Source organism: Homo sapiens, chromosome 3, assembly GCF_000001405.40.
Source record: "Homo sapiens chromosome 3, GRCh38.p14 Primary Assembly".
NCBI lineage: Eukaryota > Metazoa > Chordata > Mammalia > Primates > Hominidae > Homo > Homo sapiens.
In genome coordinates this window covers 8,729,551-8,748,247 of record NC_000003.12, presented here as the reverse complement: position 1 = coordinate 8,748,247, position 18,697 = coordinate 8,729,551, and the positions used below count along the sequence as shown (strand labels likewise).

Sequence of the window (18,697 nt, the reverse complement as noted above, 5' to 3'; positions counted from 1 at the left end):
GATTTGGGAGCCATCTGTAGCATCACAAATGAGTTTGTGTTAACATGCTGATTCCTGGGCCCCACTACTGAATCAAACACTGTAGCTAGAGCCTTGGAACCTGCATTTCAAACAGGAGTCCCTGGTGGTCCCCTATGTATCTTATGAGAGGGAATGGAACTCCATCCTCCTGCCTCAGGCCCATTCTCATCATAACCCCAATGTGATTTTCTGCCTGCTACTTCTCAAGGAGATTCCTGGAGGGAGAACTCCTTGGACACCCATGCATCTCAGATGTGTGTCCTGTCTCTAGTTCTGTGAACTTTGTGGCTAATTAAGCACCGACCATAGTCTGCCCTTAGAGAAAGACAGTGAGCTTGAAAAATTGGAGTCATTGTCAAATCCAGTTATAGCAAATACCAAGATGGCAAATTCTCTACATAACCCAAGATTCCAAGTCTGAAATGGATGGCCTCGTGATTTCAAGAGACGTTTGAAAGGGCAGGCCCTTTGAGGAGGACATAAGTAACATCAGCCTTAGTCCTTTTCAGCAGGGAGGAGCCTGGGCCTGCTGAGCCCCCCGACAATGTGGAAGAGCCCCAAGGGAGAGCACAGGCAGCAGGCTGGAGCCACAGTGATAGTGCTGGCTAGGTGGGTGCCTTTTGGCAAGGTTCCTGACTTCTCTGGACTGTAACTTTCTCATCTGCAGAAACAAGGGCTAAATGATGAAGTGTTTAGGGGTAAAATGTGCTGATCTCTACAACGTATTTAAACATGCGTAAAGATGAGATTGGTGGGATGGATAGAGGGGTGGATAGATGAATAGGGATGTAAGAAAGCTGGGGTAGAAAAACGTTAATGATAGAGCCAAGATGGGTATGTAGCTGTTCAACTTTTCTGTGTTTGAAATTTACATACAATGTTAGGAGAAAACCAAAATTGGGTAAAATTTTGGAGCCAAAATGCACATTAGAGATCAATTTGTGGGTGATAAAATTGAGGCAGAAAAGGCAACTAGGAGCGGAAGCAGGACTAGAACCAAGGCTGCCTGCGTCCTAGTTCCCAAGCTGTGTGTGGTCCACTTCACCACACTGCCTCCCAAGACCACTGGGCTCGTGGCCAGGCATGAATAATGTCTCCGAAAACCTGACAAGTGCTGTGGAACTTTAATTATATGAGACTTAAATGGGCGTTGCATGAAAAGAAAAAAAGAAAAAAAAAAGGTCAGATAGGATTGGGGGGATACTGGTTTAAACAGGTTTATCTACTGCAGGACATGTCAGAGCCTTTAATGTGCCAAAGTCTATTGAAAATCTCTGAGAGAAATATACAGCATTTCTGAAAGAACCGGACCACAGATGCTAACACCCATCCCCATCCTTTCTTTTTTAATGGCTAAGTTCTGGATAGCACACTCGGAAAAGACAGCCCTAAAGAAGATAAGGGCACTGTGTGTGTGTGTGTGTGTGAGAGAGAGAGAGAGTGTGAGGAGGGAGGAAGTGATACATGCTCTTTCTACTGCATTTTATTTCCATAGTGAGTCCACACACGCACAAATTAGACCTTGTTCCTTCGTCACATCTCCTGAGGGCGAAGGTACCCTCATGTCAAATGGCAGTACTGGGCATTTCAGGGGCTCGGTTAGCCAAAGGGGAGGTTCCGGGAGGCTTGAACCCAGGCCCTTCCCTCAGTGGTACCCTGGAAGGGTCACTGCCCCTGCCAGCCCAAGGGTCATTTTCCTCCATTGGTGCCCATTTTTGTGCTCAGGCAACAGGAGTCACTTAAACATGATCTTCCAAGGAACGTGTACGGTTCCAGCAAACAATAGAATCCGAAGAAGAAAAAGACTCTGTTCTTCACTTACATTTGGCCAAGTGAAGAGACAACCAACTCTCCCTGTGTCTGTTTTTCAGGGCAGTGAAGTATATTTTTGGAGCTGGTCAGGACACAAACCAATCTTACAGGCACGAACAAAATGCAGCATTCCCCAAATGCAGCCAAAACCCTTTACTGGAGCCACCTTCCTAACGCCAGTGGTCACTGGTCACTTTCCTGAGTGCGCGTGGAGAGGTTGGCCCCGGGTGGGAACCGCGTGCTGGTTTATGTTGTTACAGTACAAGTGAACGCAAAGACTTGCAGTAGCTGCCTCTTGGCAAATGATCTTCCCCCACGCCCAGGCATGGGGGCATCATGGTGGGGCTGGGGGAGAGCGAAGGGCCATTGTGCTTCTGTGGCTGGGCCGTCTTTTCTTTCTGGCTTCCCTACACCGTGTGCTCCATCATGGGGTATGGAGCAGTCCCTAAAGAGAAAGAGCTCGCCAGCAGCCCCTGTGAAGAAGTCCCCCGGGGACCAGTCTGGCCCACCACCCCCTGCCCTGCCACCGCTGTTGCCCCACCTGGCTTTAGACCTCCTTCCGCAGCACCACCTTGATGCTGCTGCAGACCTGGCCCAGGGCCGCGAAGAGTGGGTTGCAGAAGGTGCGGATGCAGAGTGAGTAGATGTGGCTGATGCACTGGATCTCGATCAGGTAGCTCTTAATGCATGGCACCACCGCCCAGATGTGGCAGAAGGAGATGCAGGCGAACAGGAAGCCCCAGAGCAGGGCCAGTGGGACGCCCAGCAGCGTGGACAACAGACGGTAGCACCAGTACTTGGAGACAGTGAAGGTGGTGTAGCTCACCTTCCACACGCCGTCAAAGCTGTAGGTGCCCACAGGCTCTGCGATCACGTCTTCAAAATCCACCTGCAGGGGTGGCAAGGGGAAGCCTCAACTCACAGAAGCCACCCGCTTCTCAAGCTTTTGGGTGTGTGCGTGCATGTGTCAGAATCCCCTAGAGGTCAGGTTAACCTTGGTGGCTGGACCCTACCTGTATTAGGCTATTCTTGCATTGCTTTAAAGACATACCTGAGGCTGGGTAATTGATAAAGAAAGGAGGTTTAATTGGCCCATGGGTCTGTGATCTGTGCAGGAATCATGGTGCTGGCATCTGCTTGGCTTCAGGTGAGGCCGCAGGGAGCTTTCAACCATGGCTAGAGAAGGGAGAGCAGGCGTCTCCCCTGGTGAGAGTGGGAGCAAGAGAGAGAGCTGGGCAGGGGGTGGAGTGCCACACTTTACAACAACCAGATCTTATGAGAACTCTCCCACTATTGTGAGGACAGCACTAAGCCACGAGGGATCTGCCTCTGTGATCCGATCACCTCCCACCCGGCCCCACCTCCAATATTGGAGATTATGTTTCACCATGAGGTTTAGAGGGGACACAGATCCAGACCATATCATCGCCCCAGGGATTCCGACTCCCCAAGTCTGGAGTGGGGCCTAAGGCTCTGTATTTCTAACAAGCTCCCTGTTGAGCCCAAGCTGCTGCTGTTCCTAGGCACCGCTGACCAACACAACACGCTCGTTCAACCCCCTCAAGGTGAGCGACTTGCTTAAAGCCAACAGTGACTTAGTGGCAGTGCTATAGTCGCAGCTCTCAAATTCTATTGTTTTATGATCTGAAGGGTGTTGGACGGTCGTATGCATCCTACAGCAATTTACTGAGCACCTGTGGATTGGATGGTGAACAGGCAGAGGTTCCTCACATCGCTTACCTAAGCTCTCTCGAGCCCTGCTATGCATGAAGCACCTTCCTAGCTGCCTACACATGGGTGATGTCACTTAGCATCACTAAGCCTCAGCTGTCTTGTCTGTAAGATGGAGTCAATGAACGTCTTCCAGTGGTATCATGAGGATGAAAGGATGGGAGGCTGTAAAATCCACTGGTCCACAGTGAAACCCTGTCTCTACTAAAAATACAAAAAAAAAAAAAAAAAAAAAAAATTAGCCGGGTATGGCAGCGGGTGTCTGTAGTCCCAGCTACTTGGGAGGCTGAGGAAGGAGAACGGCATAAACCCGGGAGGCGGGGCTTGCAGTGAGCCGAGATTGTGCCACTGCACTCCAGCCTGGGTGACAGAGCGAGACTCCATCTCAAAAAAAAAAAAAAAAAAAAATTCCACTGGTCAATTAAACAGCAGTGAACCAAATTAGCTGCTTCATGACTGGTCTCCCCATGGTTGTTACCAGTACAGCCCGCCAAGTGGGAGGTTGCAGAGCTGTTTGCTAATGCCTGAAACTGTTCTGAGATGTTTTCTTTCTAGCAGTGCTCCTGGGCCATTCAAATTAAAAGGGGGTGGATGCAGGTACAGACTAATCAGATCAACAGGAGGGGCCTGTGTGGTGGCCTGCAGGGCTGAGGCTCCAACTTCAATCTTCCTGGTTAGTTAGTCCCTTTCCCGCCTTGGTTATGGGGAGGGGATCCTCTCCTCTATTGCATCACCAATATTAAAATTACTTTCATTATAAAAAAAATGGCCATATCACAGAGAATTAACAGAATAGAAAAAAGAAAAGAGTCTTGGGTTTGTACTTCTCTATTACTAAAGATATGATTGTTTTGGTGCATTTCTTTCCAGTACAATATTTTCTGGGGAAAGAAGTGACTAGAACCATGTTGCTCAGACAGTGTTGGGCCCTCTTTTCTCATGTGACTTTAGCTTCTGAGCTCCTGCACCCCACCTCAGGTCCCTGATCCCCCTGTGCTCTGAGGCTGGGGATCCCTGAGGATGAGGCCTCACTCGGGGTGGTGTGTCAGCAGGCAGCACAGTTTACAGGGTGAGACTCTGGGCTGCAGGAGAAATGGAAAAGCTGACCTCCCAGGACCTTCCTTGTATAATCTTGGCCCCCAGCTTTCTCTGCTGCAGGTTTCATCAGAGATGACTTAATCTCTTATGCAACCCTGTGGATGGGAGGAGAGGAAGAAAATGGGCCTCATCTTCTCAGGAAGGATGTTACTTCTTCTTGGAGGGCTTCCAGGAGGTGGTGGCTGGCTGGGAATTTAGGGGACTTCGGGATTGGAACAGGGATGGAAAAGTCATATTCACTCCCCATGTTTATGGAGGTTCTAGTCAAACCCCCAGGGCCTGGATCCTGCTGACTGAGATCATTTTTCTTTCATGTATTCATCCATACATCCACAACCCACTGAGATGGTTAGGATGTTTGTCCCGTCCAAATCTCATGTTGAAATGTGATCCCCAGTGTTGAAGATGGGGCCTGGTGGGAGGTGTTTGGGTCATGGGGGCGGACCCTTCACCATGGCTTGGTGCCCTCCCTGTGGTCATGAGTGAGTTCTTGCTCGTTAGTTCACATGAGACCTGGTTGTTTAAAAGAACCCGGCAGCTCTCTTGCTCCCTCTCTCGCCATGTGATATGCCAGCTCCCCCTTTGCCTTCTGCTATGATTGGAAGCTTCCTTAGGCCTCACCAGCTGCAGATGCCTGCACCATGCTTCTTATACAGCCTGTAGAACCATGAACCAAAATAAATCTCTTTTCTTTATAAATTACCCAGTCTCAGGTATTCCTTTATAGCAATGAAAAACAGACTGACACTCACCATCTATCCACTCATTCATCTATCCATCTATCCACCTATCTGCCTGCTCATCTATCATCCATCTATCCATCCATCCTTTCATCCATCCATCCATCCACCCACCCACACATCCAAATAAATACTGATTGATTACCCACTTTGCCCAGGCACACTACCTCTTGAGCAGTGCTTAGCACAATGCCTGGCTATTGTGATGGTAATATTGCTCAGTGATGGTAATTATTCCTTCAGGTGCTCTGAAGATTCCTCGAAAATACATCTGAGAAATTCTTTTGACATCCCGGATTATTCTCCAGCCTACTTAGTTATAAATGAGTCTGCGTGTGTCTCAGTCTGTGCTGATAAGACGGATGGAGTCCTCCTTTCCTTACAGTAGTAAGTACAGTACTTACAGTAATAATCCTACCGCCAATGGCTTCTGTATGTGTCTTTTAATTATCTTTCTTCTTCTTCTTCTTCTTTTTTTTTTTTTTGGTGTTTGCAGAAGCCATTGGTGCTAACATTTGAATTATTTCCAGGGATTGCCTTTGGGTGCTGTGTGTGGGGCAAGTGCTCTATTTTCTGTGAATCTCAGAAAACATGCTCTCAGAGGGCTGGGCTGGGCTTGGAGGAGGCAGCTGTTCCCCTAGCTCAGATTTGAGCATTGAGAGAGCTTTGGCCACAGCATGCTAGTTTGGGGAGATATTTATAAGGCCCGGCTCAGGCAGCTCTAGGCAGCTGTACCATGCAGCACAAGCATACGGTGACTTCATTTCTTAATTCCTTTCCAGAAGAGAGGAGATGGCTTTTTCTTGGAGGGTGGTGGGCTGAAAGCCTGCATCTGCGTGCTGAGGCTCAGGACACTGTGTGCAGTTGGAGAGAGGGGCTGGAGGGTGAGGAAGGGGGAACGATGGTGCACATTCTGTCGGTGTCCCCTTCTGTGGCATATTTATTTTTGGAACAGCAAGAGACCCAGTTGATTAATTGAAACCAGCCAGCGCAGTCCCCGCAGTCTCTGAGAGGGCGGGGAAGGTGTAGGATAGCAGGGCGGGGGATTGCTTGAGGATGCGGGGGAGGACAACAGTCACCCGGGGTCGAAAATACCTCCCCCAGAGTCCTGCATGACTCAGTCCGTAGGCATCCAGGACCTTGGACAATTCAAATAGGATATCTGTGGGTGGGGAAATAGCTCTTAGCAGGGTGGGGAGGTATATGGTCCCAGTATCCACTGGCCATTGAGTTACTGTATGATTTGGGGCATGGTACTTTCCCTCTCTGAGATCCTAGGTTTTTTGTTTGTTTGTTTTCTTTTTTCAACTCTACACAGAGACGATTGGGCCAAGATCTGTAATGACACGGAGTTAGCTTCAGAGTCAGAAAACCCAAGTGAGAGGCTTAGCTTTTGCCAGATCCCAGCTTCCTCCCCTATTACCTTGCTACTTAAAAGGCAGTTCACAATCAGTGTGTCCTGTCTCCCAACAAGGTAATTATAGAAGTTGAGAGTGCTTAGAAATATTCATAGAAATTTGATGCAGTAATTTTATGTTTATTGAATCTAACAATAAACATTGGTGCTTGTAACTGTACGGCTGTTTTCATTTCATTTTTCCAGTGATTAATTTTTGTTGCGTTTTGCAAAAGTATAGCTGTGCAGTGGATTAGAATAATAATATTAAAACTGGTCCTTCACTCAGTTTTAGAGGCACTGGCCTACAAAGTAGGAAGTAAAATGAGGTGATAGCTGCAAAAACTGTAAAAATGACAAAGCTCTGCATCTTTTGTTATAAAAGGTAGCAACAAAAGAATACAACTGTGTACAATCTGGGATAACCATGGTAACACCCACGATGTATATGGCCCTTTATGCATGTCAGTTTGGGGCCATGTATCTTACATGTGTTATTTCACATGGCACGTAAGGGACTGGCAGAGTGACGCTCAGGTCAGCCTGACAGCAGGGTGATTGAAGGGGCCAGATACCCCAGCAGGGCCTGAGGCCAGAACACAGCATAGGCTGGCTCTGATGGGTGGAGGAGGTGGCCAGGCATCATCTGGAGCTTGGAGTTGAGAACATCTGTGACTCCTCCTTCAGGAGGGTGCTCTAGGAGTTGAGAGCATCCTAGGTAGGACCATATATCTACCCCCATCCTAGTTCCCTCCAGCCTCTCTTTTCAGCTCCAGGTCTACCTTAAGGGACCTAGGACACCTGGGCTGGGGCATAACAGGACTTGGTTTTATGTAAAGGAGCTGGGAAGAGACTGAGATAACAGAGGGCTGCAAGGAGAGAGACAGAGAGAGAAGAACCTGCCAGAAGAAGCTCCTCAGCAATCCACTAAGCCCTGATCTTTGCCTCACTGCCTGTCCCTTCCCATCCGCTCTTCTGCTCTCTCAATCTCTGCCTTCAAGAAATTTGGTGCATATTGGAATAGGGAGGAATAGAAGTACCCTGGGTGGAGCTCTGGGCTTGGCTGTGCACGAGCTTTCAGTGGGTGGTTTGCTGGTCTCCAAAGATGACCCTCCATTAGTCATGCTTCTCGGTGTTTGTCCTCAGGTAGTCTCATCCCATCTTGAGTCTGGGCTTGCCCTGTGACTCACTTTAACCACAAGAATGTGGCAGAAAGGATGTTGTGCCAGTTCTAGAACTAAGCCTTCAGAAAGCCTAGCACCTTCTGCTTTTAGGAGCACTGAGCCCCCATGTTAGAAGTCCACTTTTATACTCTGCTCTGGAGACTAGCAGAATTAGAAATGCACTGCTGAATGCTGCTCGAGAGACTAATGGAGAGGCCATGTGAATAAGGAGGCCTGAAACTACATGGAGATAGAGGGCCAGCCACCCCAGCACCACAGCTCAGCTGTGCCTCCCAGCCATCTCTGCCAGTCCTCCAGGGCTATGAGTGAACCATCTTGGATGTTCTAGCTCGGTGGAGCCCCCAGGTGATTGCAGCCTCAGCCACCATCTGACTGTAGCTGCATGAGAGGCCCCCAGTGGGACCAGCAGGACTGCCAAGCTGAGCCCTGCCCACCCACAGAACTGTGAGAAATAAAAAAATGGTTGTTTCCTTAAGCCATTAAGTTTTGGAATGATTTGTTACTCACAATTGATAACTGATACAGTCTGTCTTTAGGGAAAACAAGGGATAACTCTGGGCTCCAGGTGTCTTCTATAGGATGAATGGGACTTGGTTGCTGACAAGCTGACAAGTTTGAGCGTGAAACTCTTTTTTTTTTTTTTTGGAGAAGGAATTTTGCTCTTGTTATCCAGGCTGGAATACAGTGGTGCGATCTCGGCTCATGGCAACCTCTGCCTCCTGGGTTCAAGCAATTCTCCTGCCTCAGCCTCCTGAGTAGCTGGGATTACAGGCACCCACCACTACACCTGGCTCTTTTTTTTTTTTGTATTTTTAGTAGAGACAGGTTTTCATCATGTTGGCCTGGTCAGGTTTTGAACTCCTGACCTCAGGTGATCCACCTGCCTTGGCCTCCTAAAATGCTGGGATTACAGGTGTGAGCCACCGTGCCTGGCCTGAGCATGAAACTTTTATGCTCAAACATTAAAGTGTAAACATTCACCAGCTCAGCTGAATAAGAACTTCTGGGGGCAAGGCCAAGGAATCTGCAGTTTAGTAAGTGCCCCCACCACTGGACCCTGGGAAAGTGGACTGCATTTTGAAAAACTCTAGATCAGTTGATACCCAGGAGTCCTCATAACACTAAGTTGTAATACCTCAGTGTGAATTAGTCTGATGCAGCTCTTCTTAGAGGTCATTGACAGAGGGCAAGACATTTCCAAAAGGAAGGAATTGCCAATATGGAATGACAGGTGGATTGGATGACCCTCTATTATTTAGTTTCAACCTGCCCTTCCTGCCTTCTCTCCCACAAATTCCCTTTCAGATCCTCTGTCCTAATCCTCTTCGATAGTTCATTATTCTTCTGCAGACAGAGCAGCGAAGTGTTATCTGTTGTACCCACTATGACTAGCTGATGGTGCATGGCTTCCATGGAGCAGTGCTGTGATCCATTAGTCATGGAGCAGTGCTGTGATCCATTGTCATGTCTGCCATGAACACTGGAAGGGGCAGTGGTAATGACAGCCTCTTACGTTTGCCAACTCTGCCCAACATTCTTCCCAGTGTTGGGAAAGCCTTTGCTTATTCCATTTCTTCTTGGAAAGCTTTGTTCCTCCATTTCACATTTTTAATTTTTCTCATTTTTATGATGCACCATGGATACCACCTGTCCATATAGCTGGCTTCTGATTTTTCCAGATGAAAGTAATTCTTCCTCTCCTAACCTCCCATGACACCTAACCTGGCACTCATTTACGGTGTTCAGCTCCTTCTCCTGTATGTTCTCATTGTTCTCCTCTCATCTTCTCCCCAGGAATGGATTCCCCGCCAAGGGAGGTACCAGGTCAGTTTCTTCTTTGTGCAACAGGGTGTCCCTGATGAGCACAAACCTGGAACAAGTGTTTGTAGGGCTGGTGGGCATCTGGTTCCTCTGGGTGTTGTGTAGCCTGAGCCGGGGGGCAAATGGGTGTTTGTTTTTCTGAAGAAGGCAGGCGTTCTGTGGCAGATGTGGGTGGAGGGGGTTGGGGAGTAGTATCATGGAGAGGCTGGGATCCTATCTATCTCCTTCCCCTGCTTGAAGGGCAACTTGGGAGAAGCTCAAGAGGGAGGAGTTGACTGCAGAAGCTGGGATACCTGCATAACTCTCAGGTTCAAGCATCACTGCTTTAGGGCCCTGGGGGCCTATGTGTGAGTCAAGAAAGGGAGATAGAGAGAGAAGAGAGAGAGAGGAGAGAGAGAGAGAGAGAAGACAGAGGAGAGAGAGAGAGAGAAGAAAGAGGAGAGAGAGAGAAGAGAGAGCAGAGAGAGAGAGCATGCTGTCAGTGAGGTGGCCCTAAGCCCTCTTGGAAATAACTTGGAGGCACTGTGGGGTGGCTCTGAGGTGCTGAGGTATACCTGTAGTGGGGCTAGGACCTTTCCAACCTGGGTCTGAAGGTTGAGGCAACCTTGGGTGTACCTGCTGGTGAGCTGAGAGCCCTGGGGACCTTTGGCAGACATTCCCACCCCTGCAGCCTGGAGGGTTTGCATGCAGTGAGGCTGTCCTGCTCATCACTACGTCCTCTGGGACAGCACATTGCCTGTGCTGAACAGGCATTCAGTTGCGATTTGTGGAATCAGTGTTGGTGAGGAGGGCAAGTGGCAACAGAAATGGGGGTGTGCTCCCCCCAGTTCCTCAGCTACAATCTCCATGACCTTCTACACTGCCCTGGGCCCAGTCCCGAGCCTTGGAGACCACAGCTGAAGTCTGTTGGAGTATACAGGGCTCTTCCTCTGTTCTTGGCTGCCTGGGTTTAAAGGCAGGGCCAAAAAGGGGTGCCTCCCCTCTACTGGGGGTCAAATCCATGGATGTAGTATGCCTATCTCCTACTCTTCATCCTTGGCTTTTTTAAATGTGAAACGGCCGTGACTGGTGGCACCAGGGACTTGGGACCAGAGAGGGCAAAGGATTTCCTCAGAGTCACACAGCAAGTTACTGTCAGGTCTTGGACCAGAACTTGAGTCTGTAGCCAGGTCCTATTCCAGCATTCTTTCCGTGTCACTCATCCTAGCCCATGAGAAACCTGCTACCACCTGTGAGGCCACCCTGCCACCTGCCACCTGGGGCACTGCCAGGGCCTCCTGCACCTTCCTCTCAGTCTCTGTCCAGTTTCTCCATCTCTCTCTGTCTCCCTCATTCCCTTTTCCTTCCCATCTCTCTTTTCCTCCATCGATGGCAAAACCCGGGCAGTTGAGAGGCTGAACAGTCTGGCTTCATCCCTCCTAGCCACAGTCCCCTCTCTCCTTCTTTCTTTTCTTTATTCTTTAACAGACTGTAACAGAGACCTGAAATCTACCTAAACCTGTTTGTGATCTATATCTGAGTCTGCTTTATGATCCTTGTTCTGCATTAACTTTTTTCATTTCTCACTCACTAAAAATAAAAGAAAGAAAAAGTCAAACAAATCCCTAAAGCAGAGAATGTCCAAAACATACCAAATAACCACCTCCTCTGGACAAAATTATTTGCGGCATCCTTTCTTAGCCTTTGCTATTTTTGCTAGGGCTCAGGGCCTCCAGGAGAGGACAGCTCTCAGCCCCAGGAGGGCTGCGTAAAGCCGCTGCACCTGTGCCGCCGCCCCCGCCGCTCCCTCTGCGTCATAATCCAGGCCTGCGGCTTGGAGCTGGCTCCCTCCTGGCTCAGAGGGATCCAAGGGCTCCCTCTGTACTTACCAGCCATTGTGGGTGCCCTTTAGAAACCATGTTCTCCCGTGGGATCCTCTTTCCCATCTCCCTGCAGCCCACCTGGGTGTACCAGATGGCTACCTGGGCATGACGCAGGCTCCTGGCTTAGCTCTCTTGCCCTCTAGACTGCAAGCTCTTTGAGACCCTTCTTTGACTCACACTGTCTCATCCTTGCTGGGTGCCAGGGACTGTGATAGACACTTTCAAACCCTTCATCTCATTCAATCCTCATGCTATATTTCTAACGCACAGTGCTGCTTTGAGATTCGTTTACCTGGTGGAGGTAAATTGGGAAATGATATTATTCCCACTTTACAGGGGAAACTGAGTCTCAGAAAACCTAGTTGGTTTGTCCAGTGTTATCATTTTTAGGTAAAATGGACTGGATTTGAAATCAAGTCTATTAAAGTCAAGTCCAGGACTATTCCTGCTAGATGACACTGATGGAAACCATAACTAATAATATTTTACAGGTACAATTTTATTTACATGTATATAGTGCTTTACAGTTTGTGAAATTTGTTTCCTAATTTTCCTCATTTCAGCTTTCACACTGTGCTATACTGTATACTCTATCTCCATCACTAACGATGTATAGAAATATAATATCCAGTATAAGAAGAGCTGTGGTGGAGGAATGCCCTGAGTGAAGCAGGGGGACAGAAGTGGGAGCAACTAATTGCCTGGAGGAGTCAGGGAAGGCTTTCTGGAGGAGGTTGCATTTGAGTTGGGCCTTGAAGGCTGAGTGAGGCATTCACCACCTGGAGAAGAGAGGACAGGCACTTCTGGCAATGGCACAGGAATGTACTCTGGTGGGTGGGCTGGCAGGTGGGAGCCAACCAGGCAGAAGAAGCAGGTTGGGGCCAGATTGTGTTGGGTTTGGACAGCCACGTGGAGAGGCTAGGCTTCTCCAGCATGGGAGGTGCCCCACTGAAAGACCGCAATACAGGCCTGTCTGATCCAGTGGCCAGGAGCTTTGAGCGCTTGAAATGTGGCTAGTGAAACTGAAGAATTCTAGATTTTGTTTAACTTTAATTAAAATGTAAACCCCGATTTCATTATTGAAAAATTTTTGCAGAATGTTTGAAACAGTACAGGCATGCGAATCGATTTTCACATGTACATTTTATGAAATCTAAATGCAGAACAAGCATTTCGGATGAAAATGTGGGGTCTGAACTGAAATATACTGTGGGTATAGGAAGCACACTGGATTTCAAACTTGAAGACTGTACAATAGCTCATTGATAATTGTTTTATATTGCTTACATGTTGAAATAATACTATTTTAGATATATAGGGTTAAGTAAGAAATATCAGGAACATTAATTTCACCTGTTTGCTTTCGCATTTTAAAATGTGGCTGCTAGAAAATTTTAAATTCCTTGTGGTAACAGTATCCCTATTGGACAGCACTGGCCTGAGATTCCAATGCTTTCAGTAGGATCTGAGAGGCCTCAGACACTGGCCTCTTAACAGCCCCTCCAGTGACTCAGATGCTGGTGGCTGGGGACCCTTCTTGGAGGAATTCTGCTTTAGAAAGGTACCTCTGAGCCAGTTGTGGAGTCTTGCACCTGTAATCCCAGCACTTTGGGAGGCAGGAGGATCACTTGAGCCCAAGAGTTTGATACCAGCTTGGTCAACATAATGAAACCCAGTCTCTACTAAAAATACAAAAATTAGCTGGGCATGGTGGCACTCGCCTGTGGTCCCAGCTAATCAGGAGGTGGAGGAGGGAGAATCACTTGAGCCTGGGAGGTTGAGGCTGCAGTGAGGCGTGAGTGTGCGACTGCACTCCAGCCTTGGGGACAGAGAGAGACTGTCTCAAAAAGAAAAAAGAAAGATCCCTCTGGGTACTGGCTGGAAGTTGGATTGAAGGTGTGGGCCTGGAGGCAGCAGGGCCGCTAGTGTCACCAGGAGGCGAGGGAAGAGGCCCAACTTCAGACGCTGAGAGACTCCCTGAGGGCTAGACAACCCCGAGCTTTCTCTTCGAGGGTCCCGGGTGCCGTCTGCCCTGTCCTGGCCACTAGACCTGGGGTGAGGGGGTAGCTAGGGGAGGGCTGGGCATGGCCCTCGGCCTTGGGGACAGATATTGGGCAGTGCTCTGGGGGAGTGAGTGTACCTCGAGGGGCTGCCGGCCCTGCTGGAAGCTGCCCTCTGGGGATTAACCCTGCACCCACTGGAGAGACCGCAGAAATGCCCCTTGGCACAGAAAGGAGCCCAACTTGGCCGCCCGTTCCTGTTCCTCCCAGGGTGAGAGCCAGGAGTGAGTGGCAGGAGCGTCACAGTAGTAAGGAGGGATTTTCTTTGTGACTCGCTCCTCCTGCCCTGATTAGCACTTAGGTCATGGAGATGAGGCTAATTTTTTGCTCTTGATTTTGCTAAAGATCCTTCGGTGATTTAGAAGCCTTTTTTTGGGGGTGGGGTGGGGTTGGGGGGGTGATACAGAGACAACAGAGCAACAAGTCTCTTTTCAGGGAAACTGTGTCTGCAGCAGATACCCTCCCCTGCCAAGCGCCCACGTCTCGCAAACCTGACACTCTCCGCCCGCCGAGGCAGGCCTGCAGAGCCTACCTTGACTATGTCCTCGTTAATGTTCTTGGGGTCTCGGTTCACCAGGTCAATCTCCTTGCAGTGGATATCCTTGACGATCTGGGCCTCGAGATCTGTGTGCTCTTCTGCCATCATCGCAGAGCTGGGGGGATCCACAGGAGGAGATCCGAGCTGTGTGGCCGGCTGGGGCTGAAAATACTTGGGGCAGAGAGACCAATTCAGTGTCCCCAGACTTATGTCCCTGCCAGCTAAATAGGCCCCACCCAGCATGCCGGCTGACAGCTGTCCCACATAACTTCAGCCTGCCTCTCTCTAAAGCCTCCTGTGGCAGGCCTCCAAGCTAAAATTAAGACTGGAGCTCTTCTGGAAGGCCGATCGCTCCTTAAAGGGGGCTGCCTCAGGGCACTGGGCCTCAGGAGAGGGTGCAGAGGGCCTAGCGTTTCCTATGCATCGTGTGGCTGTGGCCAACTCGGCGGTCGCTCCGGGGCCCCTGGAATTTGCCCCACTGCTGTCAGCATTTTGGCTCCTTTGGGGTGCACTGCCCGTGGAGGGAAGTGGGGTTAGTCCCTCCTCTGCCTCTGGCTGGCTGTGTGACCTTTGGCACACTTCACCTCTCTAGGCCACTCTGTCCCCATCTGTAAAATGGAGAGATGATAATAACAATCAGGGCTCTCCTACCCAGGGAATGGCTTCAGGAGCTGGAATGCGATGTAGTGGGGCTTCTCGTTGGATTGCCAGTGCCTGGCCCTGCTGCTTGGTGACCTGGAGCAGGTCCGAGCTTTGTGGGTTTCTGAGGTTTCCACCTGGAGCAGGAGTTGATGGACTGTGGTGTGGGGCCAGGCTGGGGATGAAACAGGGAGAGGAAGCTGCTGTGGGGCTGCCCCTCGTCTGCCGTCTGGAGCCTGCACTGGGATATGCCCGGTGGGGGGAACATGAAGTCCATGTTCGTGCTACCCTTCACCCTGCCCTAGTGACAGCTTCCAGGATTTTCTTGGGTCCCAGACACTCCACATGCATCAGTGGGGTGCACCTCTCTTAGATACCTGCTCGGTTTTTCTGTGCCCTCTTCTAACTCAGCCTTCCCCTGGGCTCCAGCAGCATGAAGGATGGCAACTCTGAATCCTCAGGGGTCAGGGTCTGTGCTTCCATTTACCTGTCTATTCACTCCTTCATTCAGGATTTGCTAATAGCTGGGGATAAACAGACCAACAAGGCTCTGTCCGCCTTGAAGTGCTCCCAGTCAAGGTGGGGAGACTAATTAAAACAATAAGTGATTATAATACTGTGCGGTAAGTGCCACAGATCAGAGATATTTTACAAAGAGCTGGTCTTAGAAGTCCATAGGAGTCAGTAACTTACTCTGAGGACACCGGGGAAGACTTCCTGTGGGAGGTGGCTTTGCAGATAGGTATCGAATGACAAGCAGGAGCTCAGCACCTAGAACACTTCAAGTTACAGGATTGTGGATATTGAGGAGTGGTATAGACAGGAATGTTGAAAAGTGTGGAGTGGCTGGAGCACAGGGTGTCTGGGGTTGAGGCAGGAGATACAGCTCAGCTCAGGCCTGGGTGTGCAGCATCCCAAATGTCATACTAAAGAATGTGGATTTTGTCTAGGGGTGCTGGAAAGCCATTGAAGGCTTCAAAGCAGGACAGGGTCGGTATCAGATTTGTGTGTGAGGAAGCTCCCTGGTGGCCAGGTGGAGGGTGGATTGGAGCTGGGTGAAGTTTGAGGTAGGAGGGGGAAAACCAGAGGTGATTTAGGCTTTATCAATAATTACACCTGGCTAGTAACACAAAGGATGCAAAAGTAATAGTGACTTGAATAAGGTAGGAACTTTTTTTCTCACTTAACACAAGTAGTTCAGAAATATTATAGTGGCTCCATGATGTCTTCAGACATCTGGACTCCCATCCTTCTGTTCTGCTAGCCCGAAAGCCACCTCATAGGCACAAGATGTCTACTGCTCCTCCAATCATCATCTCTGAGTCTGGATAAGAAGAAAGAGGAAGGGGCAGGGACAAGAAACGACATCTGCGAACTGAGTCGGCTCTGTTATAAAGCTTTGTTAGAAGTCCAACCCAACTACTTCTGTTTATATCTCATTGGTCACTCCTGTCTTGGCAAACGATGATGGAACTGTAGGTTTTTTAGCTTGAGCACATTTTCGGCACCCCCACAGTGTTACTAGGGATAAATGGTGGGCAACCAGAAAACTGTCCCTAAGTCGCTTAGGATTAAGAGGTAACTTTTTTTGTTGCTTTTCCATTCCCTTGCCTGGGTCCCCAGGTCCCCCTGGTCCCAGGTACATGAATATTCTGCAAAGAGATTGTAACAAAAAAAAAGAACATTGCTGCTTGTATTCACAAGGGACGTGGCAGGGATCTAAGCCTGAGCTTAAGCTTTGTGCACCGTAGAACCAGATATGTCTGGTGAAAGGTGGGCCAGCTAATGGCAGTCTTGTCGCCAGGGATGGAAGAGCCACCTAGAAGAACTCATCATCCTAAAGGGGAAGTAATAATAACGACATAGTAATAATGATTATGGAAGGCCATCTTTTCCAAAGATGATGAGATTGACACTCCTTCCACCAAGAGGGAGGGTCTGTGTTCCCTCCCTGGCTGGCTTCCTGGCTCTCTCCTCTCAGGATTCTTGCTCTTGGACCTCAGTCACCACGCTGGGAGGAAGTCCACACCAGCCTATGTGGGAAAACCACATAGAGAGGAGCTGAGGCTCCAGCTGTCAACCAACATCAGCATCAGGCATGAGGGTGAACAAAGTTTTGGATGTTCCCAGTCGCCAGTCTTCAAGTCATCCCCAACCTTCCTGTCTTCCAGCTGAAGCCTCAGACACCATGAAACAGAGAAACTGTCTTCTCTGTGTCCTGTTTGAATATCTAAACCACACAGTTCATGATCATAATCATTTTTTTATGTCACTGGAATTTGGGGGAGCTTGTTTCACAACCATAGTCACTGGATCAATGAGCGCTAATGGCAATAGCAACTACTGTTTGTTGAGAATCATTATGTGCTTGGCTTCCTTCCTAGGCATCCTTGGTGTGTGTAAGGAGGCTCATTTGTTATCTGAAAGGGTCAGTGCCCCTAGCTGGTGATCGGTGCTGAGGGCCAAGGGAGTGGAGCAACTAACACACATTGTGGATTTCACAGGAAGGAAGTGTACTTCAGCTGGGCCAGAAGGATGAGTGGACTCAGAGAGGCAGAGAGGAAAGGGCCAGATGCCAGAGGCAGAGAAAGGGTCATCTCTCACTTTCTTATGACAATTGTATTTCTAAAAACCTCACTGGTGAAAAGAGCACTGAAGCCGGGAACCATTAGTTGTTTCTTGGCCCTATCGTGAAGCAACTCTGAGCCCCCTCTCTGAGGCCTGGGGTCCTTGTCAAGTTTGGATGGTAAAACCTGCCTGTATTCCCCACGCATGAGTCTGTGCCCCCGCACTCAGTGGGAAAACCTAATGGGGCACCAGAGGGGCTGTGTACTCACAGAAAAAATGTTACGAAGAGAACGTACTGACAGATGAAACTTTCAAGTCAACCCTGGGGTGATGCAGCTAACAAGAGAAAGCAATTAAGGAGAGAGAGTGGCTTTCCGGAGCCCATTTTGTATCTGGGGTTTTATAGAGGACACAGCGTTCTTATTTCAAAGGATTTTTGTCGTTGTTGTTGTTATTTGGCTTGCCAGGGAAAAGAGAGAGAAAAGAATTTTGAAAATGGGATGTGCAGGAAGACACATTTGTGGAGGGTCCAAAGGGGAAGTAATGGGAAAGGGAAAGATTTACATGAGCTGAGTCACTAAGAAAGTAATGGTACCATGGACTGAAAACTCAGTGAGCTAACAAGTCTAGGGCTACTGTTAACAAGCAAGATTGATCACTCATGCAAATGTTTCCAAGGCTAGTAACTCTAGAATGATCAGCAGGAAAGGAAGCTTTTTTTTGTTTTTCCTACAAGTTTTAGATCTGGATTGAGAGCTTCTGTTTTCTTCATGACTTGGCTTTTGGGGTCTGCATTTAGAAAACAAATCACAGTATGCTCGAGCTCGAAGAGACCCAGCTTTTCCATTTTACAGATGTAGAAACCGAGGGCCCAAAAATCTCAGTTGGTGGACTGGAGAGCTTGGGATTTGGAGACAGAACTGCTATATGTCCATGAGCAGGCCACTCCCTCCCAAACTTTGGTTTACTCACCTATATAATGAGCATAACGGACCATCTTTTCCTACCATGAGGGATCTGGGAGATTTTTGGAATGGGTTCCAAAATAGACAGAGTGATCTTAGGATGCATCAATAGAGATGAACACTCTAGAATAATGGAGGTGACTGTCCTACTCAACTGTGCACTGGTCAGACTACGCTTGGAGGTCTAGTGGGGCTCCATGCTTGAAGAGGGGTGTTGGGAAACTAGATCATCTCTATAGAGGAAGGAAGCTCCTTTAAGAAA

General features: G+C 48.9%; 2 protein-coding genes across 3 annotated transcripts in view; one reads left to right on the top strand and one right to left on the bottom strand.

The window, feature by feature from the left end:
- Positions 1–6,979, top strand: part of OXTR (oxytocin receptor) — a 28,345-nt gene extending 21,366 nt beyond the window's left edge. Inside the window, exon 5 of the transcript XR_007095681.1 lies at positions 5,646–6,979. The gene's annotated coding sequence lies outside the window, so the exon portion shown is untranslated. The remainder of the gene's footprint in view (positions 1–5,645) is intronic.
- On the bottom strand, positions 1,490–14,446 carry CAV3 (caveolin 3). Of its 2 annotated transcripts, NM_001234.5 has the most exons (3): positions 14,258–14,446; positions 2,375–2,722; positions 1,490–2,278 (listed from the first exon to the last, which is right to left on the bottom strand). In NM_001234.5, the coding sequence occupies exons 1-2, from the start codon at positions 14,369–14,371 to the stop codon at positions 2,381–2,383; spliced, it is 456 nt and encodes a 151-aa protein (NP_001225.1). In that variant the 5' UTR covers positions 14,372–14,446; the 3' UTR covers positions 1,490–2,278; positions 2,375–2,380. The 2 variants fall into 2 exon arrangements, with proteins under 2 accessions (NP_001225.1, NP_203123.1); NM_033337.3 differs by having other exon boundaries at positions 1,490–2,722.